Raw genomic sequence first — 26126 nt, forward strand, 5'->3', positions numbered from 1 at the left:
TTAAATATTTTAACGGCACTGTGTGGCTGCTGGGGAAAAATTGTACACTTTAAATTACTATATATGAATTATATCTCAGTAAAGCCACCTAAAAATCCTGGAAGATCAAAATTAAGTATCTTGTAGAAGGAAATCCTTTCCTATTTTGCATAAAAACAAAATATGGATTAGTGGCAGTCCTGTGAAAATGAAAACCCTTTTCAATTAATAGATTTCAGTCAGCCGGGCGTGGTGGCTCATGCCTGTAATCACAGCACTCTGGGAGGCCAAGGCAGGCAGATCATTTGAGGTCAGGAGTTCGACACCAGCCTGGCCAACATGGTGAAACTCTATCTCTACTAAAAATACAAAAATCAGCCAGGCATGGTGGCAGGTGCCTGTCGTCCCAGCTACTTAGAGGGTGCAGCAGGAAAATTGCTTGAACCCAGGAGGCAGAGGTTGCAGTGAGCCAAGATCACACCACTGCACTCCAGCCTGCATCACAGAGTGAGACTCTGTCTCAAAAAAAAAAAAAAAAAAAAAAGATTTCAGTATGACAAGGAGATGATTTATTTGATATATGTGGCTATATGTTGACATAACTGGATATCCGTTGGCAGAAAACAAAGTTCCACCCATTCTTTGCATCATAAACAAAAATAAGGCTGGCATGGTGGCTCACATCTATAATCCCAGCACTCTGGGAGGCTGAGGTGGGAGGGTGACCTGAGGCCAGGAGTTCAAGACAAGCCTGGGCAACATAGTGAGACCCCATCTCTACAAAAAATTTAAAAATTAGCTGAGCCTGGTGATATGCACCTGTAGTCCCAGCTACTTGGCAGGGGCTGAGGTAGAAGAATCAATTGAGCCCGGGAGGTTGAGGCTGAGGCTGCAGTAAGTCATGATGGTGTCACTGCACTCCAGCCTAGGCGAAAGAACAAGACCTATCTCAAAAAAAACACAACAAAACAAAAAAGCAATTTCCTCATGGATTTATTTTTTATTTTTATTTTTTTGAGACAGGGTCTTTCGATGTCACCCAGACTGGAGTGCAGTTGTTTGAACATGGCTTACTGTACCCTCAAGCTACTGGGCTCAAGCAAGGGGTGTCTCACTATGTTGCCCAGGCTTGTCTCAAACTCCTGGCCTCAAGCAATCCTCCCACCTCGGCCTCCCAAAGTGCTGGGATTACAGGTGTGAGCCACTATGACTAGCCCTACTCGTGGATGTAAACACTACATACAAAAGTAAAAGTATCTGAATGTTCATGACTATTTCTATAACCTATGGTGGAGAAACCCCCTTTTTTTTTTTTTTGAGATATAGTCTCACTCTATCACCCAGGCTGGAGTACAGTGGCAAGATCTCGGCTCACTGCAAGCTCTGCCTCCCGGGTTCATGCCATTCTCCTGCCTCAGCCTCCCGAGTAGCTGGAACTATAGGTGCCTGCAACCACGACCAGCCAATTTTTTTGTATTTTTAGTAGAGATGGGGTTTCACCGTGTTAGCCAGGATGGTCTCGATCTCCTGCCCTCGTGATCTGCCCGCCTCAGCCTCCCAAAGTGCTGGGATTACAGGCGTAAGCCACCGTGCCCGGCCGAGAAACCCTTCTTAGGCAAATCAGGAAACTAAAAACCATAAAGAAAAATAGTGACAAGTATGATTATGTTAAAGCAGTATATATCTGTAGACTAAGACATTGTAAATAAAATAAAAAGACAAATAAGATTGGGAGAAAATATAAACATGAAAAAGGATTAATATATCTTAATATAAAATTATCTTAAATAAGATATACAAAAAATATGCATAGGCAATTACAAGAGAGATAAAAATAACAAATATAAAAAGATATACCACCTCATTAGTATAGTCAGGGAGGTGTGAATAAAAACAAACTATTGGCCGGGCGCAGTGGCCCACGCCTGTAATTCTAGCACTTTGGGAGGCTGAGGCGGGCGGATCACCTGAGGTCGGGAGTTCGAGACCAGCCTAACCAACATGGAGAAACCCCGTCTCTACTAAAAATACAAAATTAGCCGGGCATGGTGGTACATGCCTGTAATCCCAGCTACTCGGGAGGCTGAGGCAGGAGAATCGCTTGAACCCGGGAGGCAGAGGTTGCGGTGAGCCGAGATCGCGCCATTGCACTCCAGCCTGGGCAAGAAGAGCAAAACTCCATCTCACCAAAAAAAAAAAAAAAAAAAAAAAAAAAAAAAAGCTATGTTTTACTTATCAATTTGGTTGAAATTCAAAATAGCAAGTAATACTGATAATGTATGGTAAATGGGCACTAGTGGCCACCATCATTTTAGAAAGTAATATTTATACTATCCATTACAAACTTTTACATTTTACATACTCTTTGACTCCAAAAGTAATCCTACTTTTGAGACTCCTATAGAAAAATAAAAGTACCAATAAAAAGATTTATTATATGAAGATTTCCTTCATACTGACCAAAAATATTTTTTATACACACACACACAAAATATATGTCTGCTATTTCTTAGTTAAAAGCAAGCAAGATCTCATATTTGGAAAGAGTAGGACAAAAATCCTATATAGAGAAAAAATTATGAATGATTACACACCAAATTGATAGTGCTAGTCATTTAAAGGAGAAAGGTTTGGAAGGAAAAAAAAAAAGGAAAAAAATTATATATACACATATATATTCCTATTACAGAATTTGCATTAGTTTTACAATAAAACAAAAATCCATTAAAAACTTATTTTAAAAAGATTTGAGGCCAGGTGCAGTGGCTCATGCCTGTAACCCCAGCACTTTGGGAGGCTGAGGCAGGTGAATCACTTAAGGTCAAGAGTTTGAGACCAGCCTGGCCAACGTAGTGAAACCCCATCTCCATTAAAAACATAAAAATTAGGCTGGATGCAGTGGCTCAAGACTGTAATCCCAGCATTTTGGGAGGCCAAGGCAGGCAGATCACTAGATGTCAGGAGTTCGAGACCAGCCTGGCCAATGTGGTGAAACCCCATCTCTACTTAAAATACAAAAAAACTAGCCAGGCGTGGTGGCGTGTGCCTGTAATCCCAACTACACAGGAGCTGAGGCAGGAGAATCGCTTGAGCCTGGGAGATGGAGGCTGCAGTGAGCTGAGATGGTGCCACTGCACGCCAGCTTGGGCAATAACACGAGATTCCATCACCAAAAAAAAAAAAAAAAACAAAAATTAGCCAGGTGTGGTGGCATGCACCTGTGGTCCCAGCTACGTGGTAGGCTGAGGCAGGAGAATCGCTTGAACTCAGGAGGCGGAGCTTGCAATGAGCCGATATCGTGCCACTGCACTCTAGCCTGGGCAACAAAGCGAGACTCTGACTCAAAAAAAAAAAAAGAAATTATTGCATTACCATAATGGTAAAGGGGAAAGGGAGGTGAACAGGTGACAGTGAGTAAAGATTTGCTTATATCGTCATCTAACCACTAGCATTCCTTACATGAGTTTATTTCCACTTTTAAGAGCACTCTGGGTTGGGCGCGGTGGCTCATGCCTATAATCCCAGCACTTTGGGAGGCCGAGGCGGGCAGATCACGAGGTCAGGAGATCTAAACCATCCTGGCCAACACGGTGAAACCAGTCTCTACTGAAAATACAAAAATTAGCTGGGCATGCTGGCACATGCCTGTAGTCCCAGCTACTCGGGAGGCTGAGGCAGGAGAATCACTTGAACTCGGGGGGCAGAGGTTGCAGTGAGCTGAGATCACGCCACTACACTCCACCCTGGTGACAGAGCAAGACTCCGTCTCAAAAAAAAAAGCACTCTGGTAAAGAACAGGTAAACAACGCAACTGTCATTCCATGATTTTCATAATTAAGACACTTATATAACAAAGAATATTGGCCTACAATCCAAAGTGCCAGTGAACCCCTTACATTCACATTTTATGTGCATATATACACTTTCTGGGAAAGACTACAAAGGTTTCATCACATTCTTTTTTTTTTTTTTTTTTTTTTTTTTGAGATGGAGACTCGCTCTGTCACCAGGGTGGAGTGTAGTGACGTGATCTTGGCTCACTGCAACCTCTGCCTCCCAAGTTCAAGCAATTCTCCTGCCTCAGCCTCCCGAGTAACTGGGACTACAGGCATGTGCTACCATGCCCAGCTAATTTTTGTATTTTTAGTAGAGACAGGGTTTTACCATGTTGGCCAGGATGGTTTAGATCTCTTGACCTCGTGATCTGCCCGCCTTGGCCTCCCAAAGTGCTGGGATTATGTTTCATCATATTCTTAATGAGGGCCATGACTACTCACCACAACTACCATTTAAAAAAAAAAAAAGTTAAAATCCTCTGAAGACACATGCACATGTGTTTCTGTTTACTGCAGCACTATTTACAATAGCGAAGACATGGAACCAACCCACATACCCATCAATGATAGACTGGATAAAGAAAATATGGCACATATACACCACAGAATACTATGTAGCCATAAAAAGGAATGAGATCGGCTCGGTGAGGTGCACTTTGGGAGGCTGAGGCAGGCAGATCACCTGAGGTCAGGAGTTTGAGACCAGCCTGGCCAACATGTAGAAACCTTATCTCTACTAAAAATACAAAATTAGCCAGGTGTGGTAGCACATGACCGTAACCCTGGCTACTCGGGAAGCTGAGGCAGGAGAATCGCTTGAACCCGAGAGGCAGAGGTTGTGGTGAGCTGAGATCATGATGTTGCACTCCAGCCAGGGCAACAAGAGTGAAACTCAGTCTCAAAAAAAAAAAGGCCAGGCACAGTGGCTCATGAAGTCAGGAGATTGAGACCATCCTGGCTAACAGGGTGAAACCCCGCCTCTACTAAAAATACAAAAAAATTAGCCAAGCATGGTGGCAGGCGCCTGTAGTCCCAGCTACCCACCAGAAGGCTAAAGCAGGAGAATGGCGTGAACCCGGAAGGTGGATCTTGCAGTAAGCCGAGATCGCACTACTGCACTCCAGCCTGGGCGACAGAGCGAGACTCCGTCTCAAAAAAGAAAAAACAAAGGAATGAGATCATGTCCTTTGCAGGGACATGGATGAAGCTGGAAGCCATCATCCTCAGCAAACTAACACAGGAACAGAAAACCAAACACCGCATGTTCTCACCCATAAGTGGGAGTTGAACAATGAGAACACATGAACACAGGGAGGGGAACAACATACTGGGGCCAGTCAGTGGGTTGGGGGGCAAGGGGAGGGAGAACCTGAGGACGAGTAACTAACGCATGTGGAGCTTAAAACCTAGATGATGAGCTGGATGCAGTGGCTCACGCCTGTAATCCCAGCACTTTGGCAGGCCAAAGTGGGTGGATCACATGAGGTCAGGAGTTCAATACCAGCCTGACCAACACGGTAAAACCCTGTCTCTACTAAAAATACAAAAATTAGCCGGGCGTGTTTGGCACATGCCTGTACTCCCAGCTACTCGGGAGGCTGAGGCAGGAGAACTGCTTGAACCTGGGAGGTGGGGGTTGCAGTGAACCTAGATGGCACCATTGTACTCCAGCCTAGGCAACAGAGCCAGACTCCGTATCAAACAAAAGAGAGATAAAAAATAGACATTCATTCACCAACCATTTTACATTTGTCTCTACATCTTGACTAGTTAGTACTTGTTAGAGTTTCTTAGCCAGGAAGGTGTTAGTCCTCAAATTATCAAAAGATTCTCTTTTAGTTCTGGTATTCTAGATAAATTTCTCCCAGTATCAAAAATATTTATCCAGCAACTCAGTCTAAGAACTTCATCTTTTCTCTATCTACACTCACTCTCTGGGTAATTTCATCAAGTTCTTTGGCTCTAAATAGCATCACTATGCTGCTCAGCTCCCAAGTTTATATTTGCCCTGACCTCAAGACTTGTACACCCAACTGCCTATTCAATATTTCAACTTTAAACACTTAGTAGAAATCTCAAACCCTGTACAGTCAGCCCTTTGTATCCATGGGTTTCACATACGAGGATTCAACCAACCACGGATCAAAAATATTCCAGGGGCAGGGGTGGAAGAAAAGGATAATTGTGTCTGCACTGAATATATATACTTTTTATGTCATTATTCTCTAAGCAACACAGTATATTTACATAGCATTTACATTGTATTAGGTATTATAATTAATCCAGAGATGATTTAGAGTATACAAACAGGGAGGTCGAGACGAACCTGGGCAATAAAGCATGACTCTCTCTCTACAAAAACCAAAAAAATTACCCGAATATTGTGTCGTGAGCCTGTAATCCCACCTACGCAGGAAGCTGAGGTAGGAAAATAGCTTTACCTGAGGAGTTTGAGGTTGCAGTGAGCTATGGCCATGCCACTGCACTCTAGCCTGGATAACAGAGAGACCCTGTCTCAAAAAAAAACTTTTTGGCCAGACACAGTGGCTCACGCCTGTAATCCCAGCACTTTGGGAGTCCAAGGCGGGTGGATCACCTGAGGTCAGGAGTTCAAGACCAGCCTGGGCAACATAGTGAAACCCCACCTCTACTAAAAATACAAAAATTAGCCAGGCACGGTAATCCCTGCTACTTGGGAGGCTGAGGCACGAGAATCACTTGAACCCAGGAAGCGGAGGTTGCAGTGAGCCGAGATCGTGCCATTGCACTCCAGCTTGGGTGACAGAGCAAGACTCAGTCTCAAAAAAAAAAAAAAAAAAAATTTAAGTATACAAGATGATACACATAGGTTATATCCAAGTAGTATACCATTTTATATAAGGGACTGGCACATCCACAGATTTTGGTATCCTCGGGGGAACCAATCTCTCACAGATACCGAGGGATGACTGTATATCCAAACCAAATCCCTCATTTCTGTACTCCTTATAATTTGCTTTTCCCACAGTGTTCCTCATCAAAGAAAAAAGCATCCAACTGCTCAGGCCATCACTGAAGTCATCCTTGACTCCTCTTTTACCCTGATCCCACATCCAAACCATCAGCAAGTTATTATCTCCACTACCTCCAAAATATACCTCAAATCCACCCACCAGTACACTCAACACCACAATCAGCTGTTGCCTCAACTATCACGATAGCCTCTTTTTTTTTTTGAGACAGAGTCTCGCTCTGTTGCCCAAGCTGGAGTGCCGTGGCGTAATCTCAGTTCACTGCAATCTCCACCTCCCGAGTTCAAGCAATTCTCCTGCCTCAGCCTCCTGAGTAGCTGCGATTACAGGTGTGCACCACCACGCCCAGCTAATTTTTGCTTTTTAGTAGAGATGGGGTTTCACCATGTTGGTCAGGCTGGTCTCAAACTCCTGACCTCGTGATCCACCCATCTCGGCCTCCCAAAGTGCTGGGATTAGAGGTGTGAACCACTACGCCCAGTCCACGATAGCCTCTGAACTGGTCAACCTGGTTGCATTATTCATCTTTCAAAGTGCATATATCAGATCAAGTCATTTCCCTGCTTCCAATCAAACTTGAAATACAAAACTAGATACCTATCAAGTCTTTAAGTCCCTATGTTATCTGGTCCCTGGCTACCTCTTCTATCTCCTATCACTATTCCCCCCTTTACTGTTTTAGCCCTTTTCTATTCCTTGAACACACCAACAGGTACTCCTGTCTCAGGGCTTATGCTCATGCCCCAGATAGTTGCACTGGGTCCTTCATATAATTCAGGTATCTCCTGAAATATTAGTGCCTCAGAGGACTTCCCTAACTACCCAACATCCCTTACCTTGTTTATACTTCCTTTACCACATCTATCATCAAAATGCTAGGACATATTTCCCATTTATTTAATATTGTCTATCTTACTCAAAAGGAAGCACTATGAAAGCAACAACTTTTATCTGTTTTATTCACTGTTGTATACTCTGGGCTTAATACAGTACTTGACATAAAGATCCAGATGGGATCTCATCTTGTTGCCCAGGCTAGAGTGCAGTGGTGCAATCATGGCTGACTGCAGCCTCGACCTCCTGGGCTCAAGAAATCTACTGCTCAGCCTCCCAAGTAGCTGGGACTACAGGTATGTGCCACAATGCCTGGCTAATTTTTAAAATTTTTTTAGAGACATGGTCTCACTATGTTGCCCAGGCGGTCTGGAACTCCTGGGCTCAAGCAATCCCCCCACCTCAGCCTCCCAAAGTCCTGGGATTACAGGGGAGAGCCACCATGCCCAGCCTTTATTTATTTGACTCTTTTTTTGTTTTGTTTTTCACTTTCTTCCTGCAGCATTTTATTTGATTCTTAACAGATGATTTAATCCACTGATATCTCAAAGGACTAACTATCCAATGGAATGCCTGGATGAAACATAGGCACACAGTATCTTTTCCTCGGGGGGGAAAAATTTTTGTCACATAATTGATTCACTTTAGCAGAAAAATAATCATATACCAGGAATTTCTTCAGGAATCTTGAGTCTATCTTAAGAATCTACGGCCGGGCGCAGTGGCTCACGCCTGTAATCCCAGCACTTTGGGAGGCCGAGGCGGGCGGATCACGAGGTCAGGAGATCGAGACCATCCCGGCTAAAACGGTGAAACCCCGTCTCTACTAAAAATACAAAAAATTAGCCGGGCGTAGTGGCGGGCGCCTGTAGTCCCAGCTACTTGGGAGGCTGAGGCAGGAGAATGGCGTGAACCCGGGAGGCGGAGCTTGCAGTGAGCCGAGATCCCGCCACTGCACTCCAGCCTGGGCGACAGAGCGAGACTCCGTCTCAAAAAAAAAAAAAAAAAAGAATCTTGCAGGCCAGGAGTGTTGGCTCACACCTGTAATCCCAGCACTTTGGGAGGCTAAGACAGGTGGATCACAAGGTCAAGAATTTAAGACCAGCCTGGCCAACATGGTGAAACCCCGTCTCTACTAAAGATAAAAAAAAAAAAAAATTAGCCGGGCGTGGTGGCGGGCGCCTGTAATCCCAGTGACTTGGGAGGCTGAAGCAGGAGAATCACTTGAACCTGGGAGGCAGAGATTGCAGTGAGCCGAGATCATGCCATTGCACTCCAGCCTGGGCGAAAGGTTGAGACTCCGTGTCAAAAAAGAAAAAGAATCTTGCTTGAACAACACGTAATATACTGGCTAACAGTATGTTATATCAGTACTAAAAGATCTATATCGAAAAAAGAAAATGCCCAAATTATTAAGTCCTAAGACAGCAAAGCAGGGATCTTGTTTTGTCCATCACTGTATCCCAGTACCTAGAATAGTGCCTGGCACATAGTAAGCACTAAATAAATATATGAAGGCCGGGCACAGTGGCTCACGCCTGTAATCCCAGCACTTTGGGAGGCCAAAGCAGGAGGATTACCTGAGGTAGGAGTTCAAGACCAGCCTGGCCAACATGGTGAAACCCCGTCTCTACTAAAAATACAAAAATTAGCCGAGCGTGGTGGCGCATGCCTGTAATTCCAGCTACTCGGGAGGCTGAGGCAGGAGAATTGCTTGAGCCCAGGAGACGGAGTTTGCAGTGAGCCGAGATCGCGCCACTGCACTCCAGCCTAGCCGACAAGAGTGAGACTCTGTCTCAAAAAAAACAAAAAGAAGTTTTGATAGAAACTACAACAGGGTGGTGTCATGCACTGGTAGTCCCAGCTACTCAGGAGACTGAAACAGGAGAACGGCGTGAACCCGGGAGGCAGAGCTTGCAGTGAGCCGAGATCGCACCACTGCACTCCAGCATGGACAACAGAGCGAGACCCTGACTCAAAAAGAAAAAGCCAAACACGAAAACCTAGGCTAAAATGAAGAGGGAAAATACGAAATTGGAATTCACATGTGAGAAAAGATAAATAGTATGCTAAAAATTGAAAATGGAAAAAATATGTATACAAATAAGGACATTGCTTATATACACTTCAAAAGTGTATTTTACATATTCTTACCTATGAGGGAAGTAATCTGCTTTGCTATATTCTTTTTTGGAAATGAAGAAAATAAATAACTAAAATAATAACAAATACACATTATTTGCTTGCTGCATGGCACACATTATGCTAAACACATTATACATATCATCTCGTAGAATCCGCCAACTCTATGCTATAAATATTATCATTACTATATCACCATATTTTACAGTCAAGGAAACCAAAGATTGTAAGTATTTTGCTCAAAATTACAGTCAATAAGTTAGCAAAACTCAGATCTGAGCCTAATCAATCTGATTTCAGAGTCTATGATCTTAATGACTATTTGGGATTTTCAACAAATTGAGGGGAAATATACCAATGCAGATGCTGAGAGATTCATTCATTATTAAGACAACTAATTATACATTTTTAGATCTGGCTAGATACTTATTATAATCAAGGCCTGATTAACTAGAATGCTGAGTGGGTTACATTCTAGTAAAAATTTTCTGAGTAACTAAAATATAACCAAATATTTTATTGACATTAATCTTTGCTAGAAATTACTTTTATAACAATAGTTTTTTGTCTAAGAAAAGTATTTTGAACATATTTCCATCTTTATTTGATAGAAGATATCTAATTACAAAGGCCAACCTTATATAGCACTGAAGACACAGGAAATCATAAGAGAATGGGTTGAAAATTTACCGATCCAAATTACAGTGCACTCATCCTGCTGTGTCATACGTTCATACGTTTGCAGATGATCTCCCTCTACCTAGAACGCCCTCTCTTAAGTCTGAATGTCTCACACTTATCCTTTAAAGCCTGGCTCTTCCCACTTGTAGGAAGCCACCCTAACCTTTCCTTTCTCACCACAGATTGAATAACTTCCCCACCTTGGACAAAAACATTACATAGTATGTATCGTAGTATGTTTGTTAACATAGGCAAATGTATTACATAATATTACTGTAATATGTTTGTTAACATGCTCCTCCTATTAGAATTTTTTTTTTTTTTTGAGATGAAATCTCACTGTCACCCAGGCAGGAGTGCAGTGGCAAGATCTCGGCTCACCGCAACCTCTACCACCCAGGTTCAAGCAATTCTACTGCCACAGCCTCCCGAGTAGCTGGGACTACAGGCGTGTGCCACTACGCCTGGCTAATTTTTGTATTTTTAGTGGAGATGGGGTTTCACCATGTTGGCCAGGCTGGTCTCGAACTCCTGACCTCGTGATCTGCCCACCTCAGCCACTCAAAGTGTAAGCCACTGCGCCCGGCCCGAGTTTTTTTTTTTTTCCTTTAGAGACAGGGTCTCACTCTGTCACACAGGCTGGAGTAGAGTGGTGCGATTACAGTTTACTGCAGCCTCAATCTCCCAGGCTCAAGTGATTCTCTCACCTCAGCCTCCCAAGTAGCTGGGACCACAGGTGGATGCCACCACACTTGGCGAATTTTTTTTTTTTAATTTATGTATTTACTTTTTGTTTTGGAGACGGAGTTTCACTCTTCTTGCCCAGGCTGGAGTGCAATGGCACAATCTCGGCTCACTGCAACCTCTGCCTCTCGGGTTCAAGCGATTCTCCTGCCTCAGCCTCCCGAGTAGCTGGGATTAAAGGCGTGTGCCCCCACACAGGGCTAATTTTGTATTTTTAGTAGAGATGGGATTTCTCCATGTTGGTCAGGCTGGTCTCAAACTCCCAATCTCAGGTGATCCACCCGCCTCGTCCTCCCAAAGTGCTGGGATTACAGGCGTGAGCCACCATGCCCAGCCTGAATTTTTTATTTTTTTAGTAACCAGGTCTCCTTATGTTGCCCCCAGGCTGGTCTTAAACTCCTGGGCTCAAGCAATCCTCCTGCCTTGGCCTCCCACAGAGCTAGGATTACATCTGAGATTTAAAAAACAAAAACAAAAACAAAAAAAAACACTGTATGTCTTTTCCCCACACCTAAGCACAGAAATGGGTATGGTGGAAGCACTGGAAAAATGTTAGTCAGTGGAGTGAGGAATGAATGAATACAAAACAAACAAATGAATGGCTTGTTAAAGTAAATTAAACTCAGCTGGGTGTGGTGGCTCACACCTGTAATCGCAGCACTTTGGGAGGCTGAAGCGGGCAGATCACCTGAAGGTCAGAAGTTAGAGATCAGCCTGGCCAACATGGTGAAACCCCATCTCTACTAAAAATACAAAAATTTGCCGGGCATGGTGGCATACACCAGTAGTCCCAGCTACTCAGGAGGCTCAAACAGGAGAATCGCTTGAACTCAGGAGGAAGAGGTGCAGTGAGCCGAGATCGTGCCACTACACTTCAGCTTTGGGGACAGAGTGAGAAACCGTCTCAAAAAAAAAAAAAAAAAGAATTAAAGTCTGACCTACAGTTATTTGACTTTCTTCCTCTTAAAATTAAACACACAGGCCAGTGCAGTGGCTCACACCTGTAATGCCAACAGTTTGGGAGGCCGATGCGGGCTGATCACTTGAGGTCAAGAGTTCAAGATCAGCCTGGCCAACATGGTGAAACCCGGTCTCTACTAAAAACACGAAAATTCACTGGGCATGGTGGCTCGCACCTGTAGTCCAAGCTACTCAGGAGGCTGAGGCAGGAGAATCACTTGAACCCAGGAGGCAGAGGTTGCAGTGAGCCGAGATTGCGCCACTGCACTCCAGCCTGGGCAACAGAGTGAGACTCTGTCTCAAAAAAAAAAAAAAAAAAAAAATGGAAAACAAAAAAATGAAAATCTAGGGACTAAAAACTAGACATTTTTTAGCATCTTGTCGCTATGACTAAAAAACTGTAAGAAACCCTTTGTTTCTCTCTTGTGCATTTGAAAAAAGCTGATAAGCTATTCTGAATAGCATAGGAACTGTTCTAAATGTTCAATGCAAACATCGAAAAGCAATGATGTGAACTATTTACCTCATTTCTTCTTAGCTGGCACAGGGAATTCCCTACTGATAAGTAATATGGATTAGAAGTAGATGGTGTAAGTAGTTTAGTTCCAACTATGATCAGATACTTAAAAGTTATATAAACCTAACTATGAAGGAGTAATTCCTCACTTAACAGTGAAAAGAATTTTTAAATACTTAAGTATTTATGGATGAAATTATACAATAACTGGAAGATCTGCTTTAAAATAAGCAAGAGGGGAAGGAGGGACAGGGGCTGGTAGATGTGGAAACAGTGTGTTAACTGTGTTGATAACTGCTGAAGCTGGATGTTGAGTACATGAAGGCTCATTATACTATTCTCTTTATTTCTATATATGTTTGCAATTTGCCACATTAAAGAAATAAAAAGCTGACTGGGCATTGTGGCTCACATTTCTCAGCACTTTGGGAGGCCAAGGTGGGAGGACCACATGAGTCCAAGAGTTCAAGACCATCCTGGGCAACACAGTAAGACTCTACCTGTACATAAAATTTAAAAATTAACCAGATGTGGTGGCACATACATGTGGTGGCACATACCTGTGGTCCCAAACACTTGAGTGGCTAAAGTGGGAGGATCAACTGAGCCTGGGAATTCAAGTTCAGTCTGGGCAACACAGCCAGACCCCAGCTGTAAAAAATTATAAATATAAATATACATATATATACGTGTGTGTGTGTGTGTGTGTGTGTGTGTGTGTGTGTGTATGTGTATATATATATATTTTTTGAGACAGAGTTTCACTCTGTCACCCAGGCTGGAGTGCAGTGGCGTGATCTCAGCTCACTGCAACCTCCACCTCCCAGGTTCAACTGATTCTTCTGCCTTAGCCTCCCGAGTAGCTGGGACTACAGGCACATGCCACCTGCGCCTAATTTTTTATATTTTTAGTAGAGACGGGGTTTCACCACGTTAGCCAGGATGGTCTCGAACTCCTGACCTCGTGATCTGCCCACCTCGGCCTCCCAAAGTGCTGGGATGACAGGTGTGAGCCACTGCACCTGGCCAAAAATATTTTTAAATGAACAAAATTGCCCAGGTGTGGTAGCTCATGCCTATAATTCCAGCAATTTGGGAGTCTGAAGAGGGAGGACTGCTGAAGTTCGAGACCAGTGGGGGCAACACGGTGAGACTCCATCGCTACAAAAAAATTAAAAATTAGCCAGGCGTGGTGGCATGTGCCTGTAATCCCAGTTACTTGGGACAATGGAAGGACTGCTTGAGCCCAAGAGGTAGAGCATGCAGTAAGTTATGCTCGTACCACGGCACCCTAGCCTGGGTGACATAGTAAGACCCTGTCTCAAAAAAATTTTTTTAATTAGATGGAAAAAAGTATACAACCTTGTCATCAACTTGTGTATGTCTGAGGGCAAATGACTAAAGACTATGAAAAGCAAATATAATACTACAATAAAAATTTCATAGATTTCCAAACATGAAAACTTAGCTGTTCAATGAAAAAATACAACTCTGAAATAGCAGTAAGATTATTGGTTAAATTTCTGTCATCACTAGAAGTCATTATTTTATTTATTTATTTTTTTTTTGAGACAGAGTCTCGCTCTGTCACCCAGGCTGGAGTGCAGTGGCGCAGTCTTGGCTCACTGCAAGCTCCACCTCCCAGGTTCACACCATTCTCCTGCCTCAGCCTCCTGAGAAGCTGGGACTACAGGTGCCCATCACCATGCCCGGCTAATTTTGTTTTTTGGGTTTTTTTTTTGTATTTTTGGTAGAGACAGGGTTTCACCATGTTAGCCAGGATGGTCTCGTTCTCCTGACCTTGTGATCCGCCCACCTCGGCCTCCCAAAGTGCTGGGATTACAGGTGTGAGCCACCACGCCCGGCCTAGAAATCATTATTTTAAAGTTAATTTTGATAAATATCACATTCTGCCAATTACAGGCCTGATGAGGCAGTCACTAAAAAAGCGATTTCTAAAACGTGAAATATAAGACTATTATTAACTATGATGACAAGCAATAAGAAAATCTAGCCTCTTCATATGAAAAAATATAAATGAAAAAACACTAAAATTAATTTTAAGGAAAATGATAACAGAAACTAGCAGCATACCTCAAAACAAAACAAAAATGAACTAGTTGCATTTCCACCTCTTGCGGCACCCAGGTTTAAAATACTACATGCTGCTGAAAAGGCTGGCCTAAGCAGATCTCACAGCAGATTATAGTGAGGTTGTATACTACCTTTAAAAGACTCAGATCAATACACATTATTCAAATAGCAATACAAAGTTATTTTAAATGGAGACCACCACCACCACAATCTTACACATAGTAAGACTTCTCCACTGTGTGCTTCCACATTGTCTTGGGCAGAAATGAAGGTGGCCAATTCAATATTAATAAAGCATGGAGGAAGACTCAGAATAAAGACTCAAGTGGAATTGCTAATACTATAAAGACACAGTACCTAGCAAGTTATTAAGAAGTGATGTGCAGGTGCGGTGGCTCACACCTGTAATCCCAACACTTTGGGAGGCCGAGGCGGGTGGATCACCAGAGGTCAGGAGTTTGAGACCAGCCTGACCAACATGGCAAAACCCTGTCTTTACTAAAAATACATAAAAAATAGCCGGGCGTGGTGGCACACACCTGTAATCCCAGCTATTGGGGAGGCTGAGGCAGGAGAATCCCTTGAACCCAGGAGGCAGAGGTTGCAGCGAGCTGAGATCGCGCTGTTGCACTCTAGGCTGGACAACAAGAGCGAAACTCTCTCTCAAAAAAAAAAATTTAAAAAGTGATGTGCTGTATTCTATTTCACAATATAACTCAAGAGTAGAACATGAAAATCCTTTTCCTTTTTTTAAAGAGACAGTGTTTCACGCTATTGCCCAGGCTGGAGTGCAGTAGCACCACCATAGCTCACAGCAGCTTCCAACTCCTGGGTCAAGTAATTCCCCTGTCTCAGCCTCCAGAGTAGCTAGGACTGCAGGTGTTCATTCTAATTTTTTAACTTTCTGTAGAAATGGGGTCTTCCTATGTTGGCCAGGCTGGTATCAAACTCCTGGGCACAAGTGATCCTCCTGGCTCAGCCTCCCAAAGCACTGGGATCATAGGGATAACCCACTATGCCAGGCCCTAGGCCCCTTTTTCTTTTCTTTTTTTTTTTTTTTTGAGAGAGTCACTCTGTCGTCCAGGCTGGCGTACAGTGGTGGATCTCGGCTCACTGCAACCTCCACTTCAGGGATTCAAGAGATCCTCCTGCCTCAGCATCCCAACTGGCTGGGACTACCGGCACACACACCATGCCTGGCTAATTTTTGTACTTTTAGTAGAGACGGGGTTTTGCCACGTTGGCCAGGCTGGTCTCAAACTCCTGACCTCTGGTGAGCCACCCTCTTCAGCATCCCAAAGTGATTACAAGTGAGAGCCACCATGCCCAGCGACATCAAAACCTTTTTACATAAACGCACTGTAGAAATATATCCCAAAAGAAGGTAAGAAATATAAATGTTTGCCTTCTTCTCAAACCAATAGTTCCTTTATACAAAAACACCAGATGAGGCCGGGCGCGGTGGCTCACCCCTGTAATCTCAGCACTTTGGGAGGCCGAGGCGGGTGGATCATCTGTCAGGAGTTCCAGACCAGCCTGACCAACATGGAGAAACGCTGTCTCTACTAAAAATACAAAATTAGCAGGGCATGGTGGCACATGCCTGTAATCCCAGCTACTCGGGAGGCTGAGGCAGGAGAGTCACTTGAACCCAGGAGGCAGAGGTTGCAGTGAATTGAGATAGCGCCACTGCACTCCAGCCTGTTAACAAGAGTGAAACTCAGTCTCAAAAAAAAAAAAAAAAAGCACAAGATGATACAAAACATATTTTTTTAAAGTACAAAGCTGCATACAGAGTATAAACACTTTATGCTTATTCAAAGAGTAAGTAGTGGCAAAAATCTCTTTGCAATTGGGTAACAAAATTTCAACTTCTAGGAATGTTTCCCTCTTCCTTGTCCTTTTGAGAGCTGCCACCATCAAACAATTCAGACTCAACTGAATTAGCATCTCTTCAAGCACAGAGACCATATATTATTGATTTTTGTGTCTCCTGCATAGGATTAACTCAGTGTTTGTTATAACTAAGCTAAACTCCAAGACAGGAGCTTCAAATCACCTCAGGCCCAATCCAAAACTGAAAAAAGACAAACCCACTTCTCAGAGTTTAGGAACAAAAAGATACTGACAAAGAACAAAGCCATAGATACTTGTGCTATATTATATTCCCTTATCACCAAATTCAGAGTCCTTTACTAATACTGCAGAAATAAGTTTGCAGATGATAAAAAGAATAAAAAACATGGACCCTAAAGTTCTCCTGTCAACATGTTCAAATACCATAGACTCTTTCATCTTAAACTCATACTAACATCCACACACCCGAACAATGAAAATGAAAGGTTTTCAAATGAGACCTAAATATAAATTGGCTCTATTTTATTACATTTTAAGTTCCTAAAATCATATATATAAATCATGTGATTGTGCTTATGCTCATCTTCTAACTTGAGGGCCCAGTGTCTTTCATCAGATTCTCAAAAGGATAAGTGACCCCAAAAAATTTTAAGAACCACTCATCTAGCCTATCAAGAAACATCCCATTTTTCAGAAGAATACGGTTAAGTGGCTTAGTTTATGCATTCTTTCTTCATATTCATAGAGGGGATTCTTACTATATGAAATGAGTCTTTCAAAGGATTCCTTCAGCCCAGCCAAGAAGTTCCAACATCCACAGGCACATGTATTAACAATTACCAGAACCCAAAAACAGTTCTCTGGTTTTAATTCCACACCGCCTCCCTCAACTTAATACCCACCACTGTCAAAACAACTCCCCTCACGTTGTACCCAGGCTATTTACAGAGACACCTTGATTATCCTCACGCCAAGGCATGGACCATTTATTGAACAGGCAGTCAACAAATATTTGTTGAATGAATGAAAAAGGATCCTTCCTCCCACAGATTTCAAGTTAAGCTGTCAGCACCCATGCAGCTGCTCTGGTACAAGTTAAGCTGTGAAAGCCTTCTCTCCCTCACACATACAACCTCAAGTGTCAGAAATGCTCTGCTTCCTCCATAAATCCAAAATAATATAGTCATGGATATGCATTTCATACAGGTCAGACTCGGCAAGGACAGCTACGTTCCACATACATATCTGACACAATCGGTCTCCCCCAAATACAAGCCAACCAGTCTTATGTGCTCCTATCTTTCCAGCATACTCAGATTTGCCGACAAAGACTTCCTGAGGCACCATGGTATGCTGAATATACTGCTGCAGTAGTAGTGAAAATATGGGAGTTACAGTTCCAACTTTGTCACCAATTTAACATGCGGCCTTGGAGAAGTTCTCTCCTTATGCCTAAATTTCCTATTTTGTAAAATGGAAGAAAGCATCCTACCATTTTCACAGAGATTCAGTATCACAAAAAAACTGAAAGAGCTTTCTTATTGTATTGTAAACTATTACTATAAACCCGCGACAACAAATAAGGCCACCCATTCTTTACAACTTTGTAGTAATGATTCTGTTAAAGATATTTTGGCCCTTCACATTTACACAACTCACTCTAACCAAAGGCACAAACTATTCTTAAGACCACAACTGGCTATGCCAAGTTTCTCCCCTCCCTGACCTCACAGACACATGCTGTACAGAACACTACCATTGCCGCTCTTTCCCAACAAGTAACTAGGGGCTCCCAATCCCTAAAATACACACACATATCAACCTGCAAGGAACCTCCCAACATTTATTCAAGAAATAAGCTAACTTATAAGGGGAACTCCATTACACTTACACAAATAAAGGCAAACTCTTACGGAAACACTTGCCATCCTCACATACACACACCAACACAGCCGCTACACACCAACAGACCATCTGTCTGCTAGACCAAAAACATCTCTTTCCATGTACAAACTAACCAGTGACATTTATTAAACTTACAACACTGAGATCATCCTGTCGTTCCCACATACCGTTCAACGCGGCAGGGACACCACAGACCTTGTCACACAGGTAAAATCCCCTCTCAAGATCGTGTCCTCGACCACTCTTATCCCTTAATTAAACACACACAAACTGGACTATGGGGGAGGCTCCGATCATGCCTACAAACACAAACTAACCTGTCAGGGGCACAGCCGACTCCGCCTCCACTCGCTTACTTCCCAGCCCCCTCCGGGAGTCTGCCTGTCAGGGACACCCCTTCACCCCGCCTGGAGGGACTTCCCGGTAGGCTCAGGATCCCCCTCCCTGCTCTCCCCTCCCCCATCTTCACCACTGCTCTCTCAGAGATCCAGGTCCGGGAGATGACAGTGGCTCCCAGAAAGCCCAGGATTCAATCGCTGAGAGAGTGCTTAGGCCCGAATGCCGGCCCAAATCGTTCTACTCACCGTGTCGGAGGCCGAGGCCGAGGCCGAGAGCGATGAGAGTGCAGGGAAGTGGGGAAGAGGGGGTGGCCGCCAGGCTCCTCCGCTTCCCTGGGTCCACGGCGGATCCCTCCCGCTTGTCAGGAGGCGGCCAGCGGGTAAGCTGACTGGCGGAAATGCGAGAGAGGAGAAGGGAAAGGTGGAAGGCTAAAGGGGGCAAACTGAGGGGAGGCGGGTCCCGCAACCGAGACTGGGATCGTCTCCCCTCCGCAAAGCGAACCCAAAATGGCGGCGGGAGCGGCGGCGGCGGCGGCGGCAGCAGCAGAGTGGCGGCGGTGGCGGCGGCAGCTCCTCCAGAGGGAGGGAGCGAAGGGCGCCTAGCGCCCCCCTCAACCTTCCACTCCTTCCTCCTTGCGTTCTTTCCCACCGTCCCCCGCTCCGCCCGACTCCGTCCGCGTAGCGCGCACGCCCGCCCGCACGCGTACGAGTGTCTACGGGCTCGTCGCTGGCTGCTCCCACCAACCACCACCTTCGGCCGCCCCGCGCGCCAGCCAGCCCGTACGCGCTCACCCACAGGAACCCCCTCGTCCAGTCCCTCACTACCCCTCAGGCCCTGTCAAGCCGGCGCCGGCGCAGGCCCTCACGCGTACCTTCAACGGCGCAAGCCCAAGCCTCCTCCTCCTCCTCCTCCACCTCCTCTTCTCTCCTCCCCCCCCTTCCCCGCCCCCACGGCCACCAACCGCCGCCACGGCCGCCGCCGCCGCCGCCAGCCCCCCCTACCACCCTCCACCCCTCGCGCGTGCGCCTCCCACAATCCCCCCCGCGGGACTGTTCCATTCCTGTCGGCTGCAGGGGCAGGAGAGGAAGGGACGGGCCGAGCGGGTCGGGGCTTGCCGTTTGACTGGAATTGCCAGAATGGCGGACCGAGCCCCACGACAACCTACCTCCCTGGGCTCCTCGCCGCAGCGCTGCGGCTCGCCTCCCTCTGCTCCTCCTCCTCCGCCGGATCGCGGCGAGCGGATCGAGGACTGCCTAGCGCCCCTCTGCCCACCGGTGGTTGGAGGCCGCGGCGGCTGCGCGTTGAGTCGTTTCCTGCCGGTTGACCTGAGCCTACTTCGCAGTAGCAGGACCGCTGCTGTGGAGCTGGTCGCAGGCGGTGTGTGCCGGTCGCCTAGTCAGGAGAACTAGTCCTCGACTCACGGTGAGGGAATGGACCGACACGGGTATTGTACCGCTGAGGGAAAGGAGCGGGACTCCGGACCTCCAGGAGGTAGGGAGTGAGGCCAGTAGGACCGGCGCGCCTCCGGGGGGATTCCTCCCGGGCGTTGAGTTGCCAACCTGGGACCCGAGGAAGATCGGCGTGGTGGTGTGCTTTTTGTTGTTGTTAACCCTCCTCGGATTTCTCGAATTTCACACCACTGTCCATATGCGATGATGTTTGTTTGCCCTTGACGCACTTACTCATGGATGGTACTTCTTCAGCCTCGTTAGACAGCCTGGTGATGGAGGATGAAGAAACCATGTGCTTTTCATTCAGTTCTGGACTTAGTCTCCCTTTTCTTCCTTCAGCAAGTTATTTTTGTTAGTTCCTTATCAAAAAGTGTACATAAAAATTAGGCAACTCCAAACATGCCTCCAGGGTTAATGTGTGAAATAATAAGATAATATATGTAAAGTGGAATTAGCTCCTAGGCATAGGGAAAGTGCAGAATATTGCCGTGTTGTCATTTACAGTTCTGTTGATGTCGATAACGTTTGTGGGTGTAATTGGTAGTGTTCTGTCCCTCCAAGGAGTTAATAAAACAAAGCAAACATAGGCCTGTTAGGTTTCTGTGGCTACTGAATATTTGTTTCTCAAAACACTTGACTGATATTTGATAATTGAATGCAGCAGAAATACGGACGATTAAAGTCCACAAATAATTCCAAAGTTTACTTGATCTAGTAGTTTTTACCTTTACCTAAAGGGTAAAGCAGAATAAATTACCGGAAGGATCTACTTGGGTTTCCCTTTCCTTCACATTTGTGGACTCCTGGGGATCCAGGAAGTAATTCAGAAATGACTGTTCAAAAGCCCATGCAAGGCCGGGCGCGGTGGCTAACGCTTGTAATCCCAGCGCTTTGGGAGGCCAAGGTGGGCGGATGACCTGAGGTCAGGAGTTCGAGACCAGCCTGGCCAACATGGCAAAATCCCGTCTCTACTAAAAATACAAAAATTAGCCAGGCGTGGTGGTGGACGCCTGTAATCCCAGCTACTCAGGAGACTGAGGCAGGAGAATCGCTTGAACCTGGGAGGCGGAGATTGCAGTGAGCCGAGATGGTGCCATTGCACTCCAGCCTGGGCAACAAGAGCGAAACTCCATCTGAGGGAAAAAAATAAAAATAAAAAGCCCTTGCAACCTCCAAAATTCAAGTAGACAGTCCCAAATTTCCCCTTTAGGATACGTGGATTAAGTGTTGTTTACTTGTTTCGTTTCTTTAAGGTAAAGAGGAAAGCAGCCTTAATTACCTCATTGTATATTTTCCTAACCAAGTCCCACACTTTCATGGAGCCCACTTGTTTACCGATCTTTTGTTAGTTGCTTCATGCGTGCAAGTGTATTATGCTACCAATAACTTGTTTTATCTGAGAACAGGGACTATGTCTACTACTTAATTTACATAAAGCATCACAGGCTAGCGCAAAGCAAGTCACAGAAATATTGAAATGAGGCTGGGTGTGGTAGCTCACGCCTGTAATCCCAGCACTTTGGGAGGCCAAGGCGCATGGATCACGAGGTCACAAGTTCAAGACCAGCCTGGCCAACATAGTGAAACCCCGTCTCTACTAATAATACAAAAAATTAGCCGGGCGTGGTGGTGGGCGCCTGTAATCCCAGCTACTCGGGAGGCTGAGGCAGGAGAATTGCTTGAACCCGGGAGGCAGAGATTTCAGTGAGTGGAGATTGCACCACTGCACTCCAGCCTGGGCAACAGTGCGAGACTTTGTCTTAAAAAGAAAAAAAAAATCCAAAAAAAATCAGGTGGGCATGGTGGAGCGCCTGTAGTTCCACCTACTTGGTAGGCTGAGGCAGGAGAGTCGCTTGAACCCAGGAGGGAGAGGTTGCAGTGAGTCGAGATCACGCCTTTGCATTCCAGCCTGGGAGACGAGAGTGAAACTCCTTCTCAAAAAAAAAAAAAAAAGAAAAAGAAAAGAAATATTGAAATGAATGTTAGATACTTAAAATACCAGAAGAGAAAGACAATTAGCATTTGTGGACTACTGTGCCAGGGGAACACGTATTCCTGTTTAATCCTTATAATAAACAACACTTTGAGGTAGATAATCTTACCCTCATTTTACAAAAGAGAAGCCTGAGGCCCAGAGAAGTCCAGTAACAATCTTTAGACTCTAGTTTGCCTGTCTTTTAAAAACCTTACTTTTTTCACTATACCACATTTTCTTCAAAGTAAAATTTCTCATCAGCAGCATAATTGCTGTGCTTCAAAGAAAAAAAAATGCCTTTACTGGAATTTCACCACACCAGTGTATAGGGAGAGTTACTTACATATGGTCTCTGTGTTAAAATAAGTTTCATTAACTACACTGATCAATGAATTATCAGCTACATACAAGCAAATGAGATACGATTCTGTTTTTTCATGTATGCCCCAGAGCCAACTAGAGACTAAAATATATTAAGTGCTCAATAAAATGACCTCACTGAATGAACAAACCCTGAATTATTTGAACCAATGAAGATAGAATAATGGTTTCCCCAAGGATATCCACTTCTTAATCCCTAAAACCTGTAAATATGATATGTTACATGACCAGGGAAAATTCAGGATGCAGAGGGAATTAAGGTTGCTAATCAGCTGACATTAAACTAGGGAGATTATCCAGGAGTGAGCTCTCTGCAATGGCCCTCTTCAGTTTTACTTCTGTAGCTGCCCATGCTTGTGTTCCTTTTCAGAAAGACAATAATGGAAAAGCATGTAAGCTGCCAGCACCACAGCACCACCGTCGAAGCTCCCTTTCTTCAAATTGGAGTGCTTGTCATAATACCTGTAGTAACCTCTCTGAACGCTCCAACAGTGCCTTCTTGTGTGAGATCACACGTTAATATTTAGTTTGGCAGTTCTGCTAGTTTGACATCCAGGAGTTTCTTCTCCTTCACTGGTACAGCCGACTCCATCTTGGGGTCCTGGTCTGATAAAAACTTTTAAAATGAGGTTTCAGGCTGGGCGCAGTGGCTCATGCCTATAAATCCCAACACTTTGGGCGACTGAGGCAGGAGGATTACTTGAGGCCAGGAGTTCAAGACCAGCCTGGTTAACATAGCAAGACCCCCATCTCTACAAAAAATAAGAAAAATTAGCCAGGCCATGGTGGCATGTCCAGGAGTTTGAGGCTACCGTGAGCCATGATCACACACCACTGCACTCCAGCCTGGGCAAGAGAGTGAAACTCTGTCTCTAAAATGTAAAACAAAATAAAGTTAATTTTTTTTTTTTTATTCTTGAGACAGAGTTTCACTCTTGTTACCCAGGCTGGAGTGCAATGGCGTGATCTCGGCTTACTGCAACCTCCGCCTCCCGGGTTCAAGCAATTCTCCTGCCTCAGCTTCCCAAGCAGCTAGGATTACAAGCATGTGCCACCACGCCTGGCTAATTTTGTATTTTTAGTAGAGATGGGGTTTCTCCATGTTTGTCAGGCTGCTCTTGAACTCCCGACCTCAGGTGATCCGCCCGTCTCGGCCTCCCAAAGTGCTGGGATTACAGGTGTGAGCCACCACACCCGGCCAGGTTAAAATATTAACCTGCTCTTACTATGTTGCCTAGGCTGCAGACTAGCTCCCATGCTCAAGGGATCCTACCGCTGCCTCAGCCTCCTCGGTAGCCGGGACTACTGTTGGGCAGGAACTTGTTTTTTCTAAGATAAAATTTACTGAAGTATGGTCAGGGTTGACTTTACATTTGACGAGTTATGGTAAATGCTATGTAATCATAAGAGTTGGTTTTTTTTTTTTCCCCACAGAGTCTTGCTCTGTCACCCAGGTTGCAGAGCAGTGGAGCAATCTCAACTCACTGCAACCTCTGCCTCCCGGGTTCAAGTGATTCTCCCGCCTCAGCCTCCTGAGTAGCTAGGACTACAGGTGTGTGTCACCACGCCTGTCTAATTTGGCTAATTTTTGTAATTTTTTTTTTTTTTTTTTTTTGAGACGGAGTCTCGTTCTGTCGCCCAGGCGGGAGTGCTGTGGCGCGATCTCCGCTCACTGCAAGCTCCGCCTAACGGGTTCACGCCATTCTCCTGCCTCAGCCTCCCGAGTAGCTGGGACTACAGGCGCCCGCCACTGCGCCCGGCTAATTTTTTTGTATTTTTAGTAGAGACGGGGTTTCACCGTGGTCTCGATCTCCTGACCTCGTGATCCGCCCGCCTCGGCCTCCCAAAGTGCTGGGATTACAGGCGTGAGCCACCGCGCCCGGCCTAATTTTTGTATTTTTAATAGAGACAGCGTTTCGCCATGTTGGCCAGGCTGGTCTTGAACTCCTGGCCTTAGGTGATCCACCCGTCTTGGCCTCCCAAGTTCCTGGGATTTAGGCATGAGCCACTGTGCCTCGCCAAGAGCCATTAAAAATATTGGCTGGGCGTGGTGGCTCATGCCTGTAACCCCACACTTTGGGAGGCCAAGGCAGGTGGATCACCTGATGCCAGAAGTTCGAGACCAGCCTGGCCAACATGATGAAACCCCGTCTCAACTAAAAATACAAAAAAATCAGCTGGGCATGGTGGTGGGCGCGTGTAATCCCACCTACTTTGGGAGGCTGAGGCAGGAGCATCACTTGAACCCAGCAGGTAGAGGTTGCAGTGAGCGGAGATTGCACCATTACACTCCTGCCTGGGCAACAAGAGCGAAACCCTGTCTGAACAAAAAAAAAAATTATTTATTTTATTTTATTTTATTTTATTTTATTTTATTTTTTTTGAGACGGAGTCTCACTCTATTGCCCAGGCTGGAGTGCAGTGTCACGATCTGGGCTCACTGCAACCTCCGCCTCTTGGGTTCAAGCGGTTCTCCTGCCTCATCCTCCCAAGTAGCTGGGATTACAGGTGCCCGCCACTGTGCCCAGCTAATTTTCGTAGTTTTAGTAGAGATGGGGTTTTACCATCTTGGCCAGGCTGGTCTTGAACTCCTGACCTTGTGATCCACCCACTTCAGCTTCCCAGAGTGCTGAGATTACAGGCATGAGCCACCGCGCCCAGCCAAAAAAAATTTTTATTTAAGACGGAAGAAATTTGAGATTTTTGTTTGGGTACAGGTTGAGTTTTTTTTGTTTGTTTTTTGAGATGCGGTCTCACTCTGTTGCCCAGGCTGGAGTGCAGTGGTGTGATCTCAGCTCACTGCAACTTCCGCCTCCCGGATTCAAGTGATTCTCCTGCTTCAGCCTCCTGAGTAGCTGGGATTACAGATGCTCGCCACCACACCTGACTAATTTTTTGTGTTTTTAGTAGAGACAGGATTTCACTATGTTGGCCAGGCTGGTCTCAAACTCCTGACCTTGTGATCCACCCGCCTCAGTCTCCCAAAGTGCTGGGATTACAGGCATGATCCACTGCACCCAGCCAGTTTTTTTGTTTTGTTTTGTTTTGTTTACGAAAATGTTTGGGAACAAAAATGTTTTGAATTTGAGATTTGAGCTACTGCCCCCGGCCTTTTTTTCTTTTTCTTTTTCTTTTTCTTTTTCTTTTTTTTTTTTGAGAAGGAGTCTCACTGTGTTGCCCAGGCTAGAATGCAGTGGTGCAGTCTTGGCTCACTGCAACCTGCATCTCCCGGGTTCAAGTGATTCTCCTCCTGCCTCAGCCTCCTGAGTAGCTGAGATTCCAGGCACCCACCACCATACCCAGCTAAGTTTTGTATTTTAGTAGAGCCGGGGTTTCAGCATGTTGGTCAGGCTGGTCTTGAACTCCTGACCTCAAATGTTCCACCTGCCTCGGCCTCCCAAGGGTTTTTTATTTTTATTT

At 45.2% G+C, this 26126-nt stretch overlaps 2 protein-coding genes and 1 long non-coding RNA gene across 16 annotated transcripts in view, besides 8 other annotated features; 2 read left to right on the top strand and 1 right to left on the bottom strand.

Moving 5' to 3' along the window:
• The window catches only part of ASH1L (ASH1 like histone lysine methyltransferase), a 227935-nt gene extending 207741 nt beyond the window's left edge, over window positions 1–20194 (bottom strand). For 6 of the 12 annotated variants that reach the window (XM_047425247.1, XM_006711451.4, XM_017001786.3 and 3 more), the window contains exons 1-2: window positions 19771–19833; window positions 19145–19287 (exon numbers count right to left, since the gene is read on the bottom strand). The gene's annotated coding sequence lies outside the window, so the exon portion shown is untranslated. Of the gene's footprint in view, window positions 1–19144; window positions 19902–20064 lie in introns of those variants that run through there. The other 6 variants (XM_047425248.1, XM_017001785.2, NM_018489.3 and 3 more) reach the window with 4 other exon arrangements.
• Window positions 2671–3171: an enhancer, noted in NCBI's record as "H3K27ac hESC enhancer chr1:155515470-155515970 (GRCh37/hg19 assembly coordinates)". NCBI's record gives its function as "activates a minimal SCP1, AML or CMV promoter by ChIP-STARR-seq in naive H9 embryonic stem cells {active_cell/tissue: H9 hESC(naive)}" and the evidence as "EXISTENCE:reporter gene assay evidence [ECO:0000049][PMID:30033119]".
• Window positions 3452–3551: an enhancer, noted in NCBI's record as "active region_1817". NCBI's record gives its function as "activates an Ori minimal core promoter by ATAC-STARR-seq in GM12878 lymphoblastoid cells {active_cell/tissue: GM12878}" and the evidence as "EXISTENCE:reporter gene assay evidence [ECO:0000049][PMID:35858748]".
• Window positions 17570–17864: a silencer, noted in NCBI's record as "tiled region #11909; HepG2 Repressive non-DNase unmatched - State 2:TssF". NCBI's record gives its function as "represses a minimal TATA promoter and a strong SV40 promoter by Sharpr-MPRA in HepG2 cells {active_cell/tissue: HepG2}" and the evidence as "EXISTENCE:reporter gene assay evidence [ECO:0000049][PMID:27701403]".
• On the top strand, window positions 19034–20936 carry ASH1L-AS1 (ASH1L antisense RNA 1). Of its 2 annotated transcripts, none has more exons than NR_147963.1 (2): window positions 19034–19278; window positions 19973–20936. It is a non-coding gene; the product is annotated as an ASH1L antisense RNA 1 (long non-coding RNA). The 2 variants fall into 2 exon arrangements; NR_147964.1 differs by having other exon boundaries at window positions 20242–20936.
• Window positions 19586–19735: a silencer, noted in NCBI's record as "silent region_1407". NCBI's record gives its function as "represses an Ori minimal core promoter by ATAC-STARR-seq in GM12878 lymphoblastoid cells {active_cell/tissue: GM12878}" and the evidence as "EXISTENCE:reporter gene assay evidence [ECO:0000049][PMID:35858748]".
• Window positions 19786–19925: a silencer, noted in NCBI's record as "silent region_1408". NCBI's record gives its function as "represses an Ori minimal core promoter by ATAC-STARR-seq in GM12878 lymphoblastoid cells {active_cell/tissue: GM12878}" and the evidence as "EXISTENCE:reporter gene assay evidence [ECO:0000049][PMID:35858748]".
• Window positions 19786–20381: a biological region, named in NCBI's record as "H3K27ac hESC enhancer GRCh37_chr1:155532613-155533180".
• Window positions 19814–20381: an enhancer, noted in NCBI's record as "H3K27ac hESC enhancer chr1:155532613-155533180 (GRCh37/hg19 assembly coordinates)". NCBI's record gives its function as "activates a minimal SCP1, AML or CMV promoter by ChIP-STARR-seq in primed H9 embryonic stem cells {active_cell/tissue: H9 hESC(primed)}" and the evidence as "EXISTENCE:reporter gene assay evidence [ECO:0000049][PMID:30033119]".
• Window positions 20238–26126, top strand: part of MSTO1 (misato mitochondrial distribution and morphology regulator 1) — a 51722-nt gene continuing 45833 nt past the window's right edge. For both annotated transcript variants that reach the window (XM_047424007.1, XM_047424008.1), the window contains exon 1: window positions 20238–20321. The gene's annotated coding sequence lies outside the window, so the exon portion shown is untranslated. The remainder of the gene's footprint in view (window positions 20322–26126) is intronic.
• Window positions 21010–21304: a silencer, noted in NCBI's record as "tiled region #7926; K562 Repressive non-DNase unmatched - State 1:Tss". NCBI's record gives its function as "represses a minimal TATA promoter and a strong SV40 promoter by Sharpr-MPRA in K562 cells {active_cell/tissue: K562}" and the evidence as "EXISTENCE:reporter gene assay evidence [ECO:0000049][PMID:27701403]".

The sequence above is a fragment of the Homo sapiens genome, chromosome 1, assembly GCF_000001405.40.
Source record: "Homo sapiens chromosome 1, GRCh38.p14 Primary Assembly".
Lineage (NCBI taxonomy): Eukaryota > Metazoa > Chordata > Mammalia > Primates > Hominidae > Homo > Homo sapiens.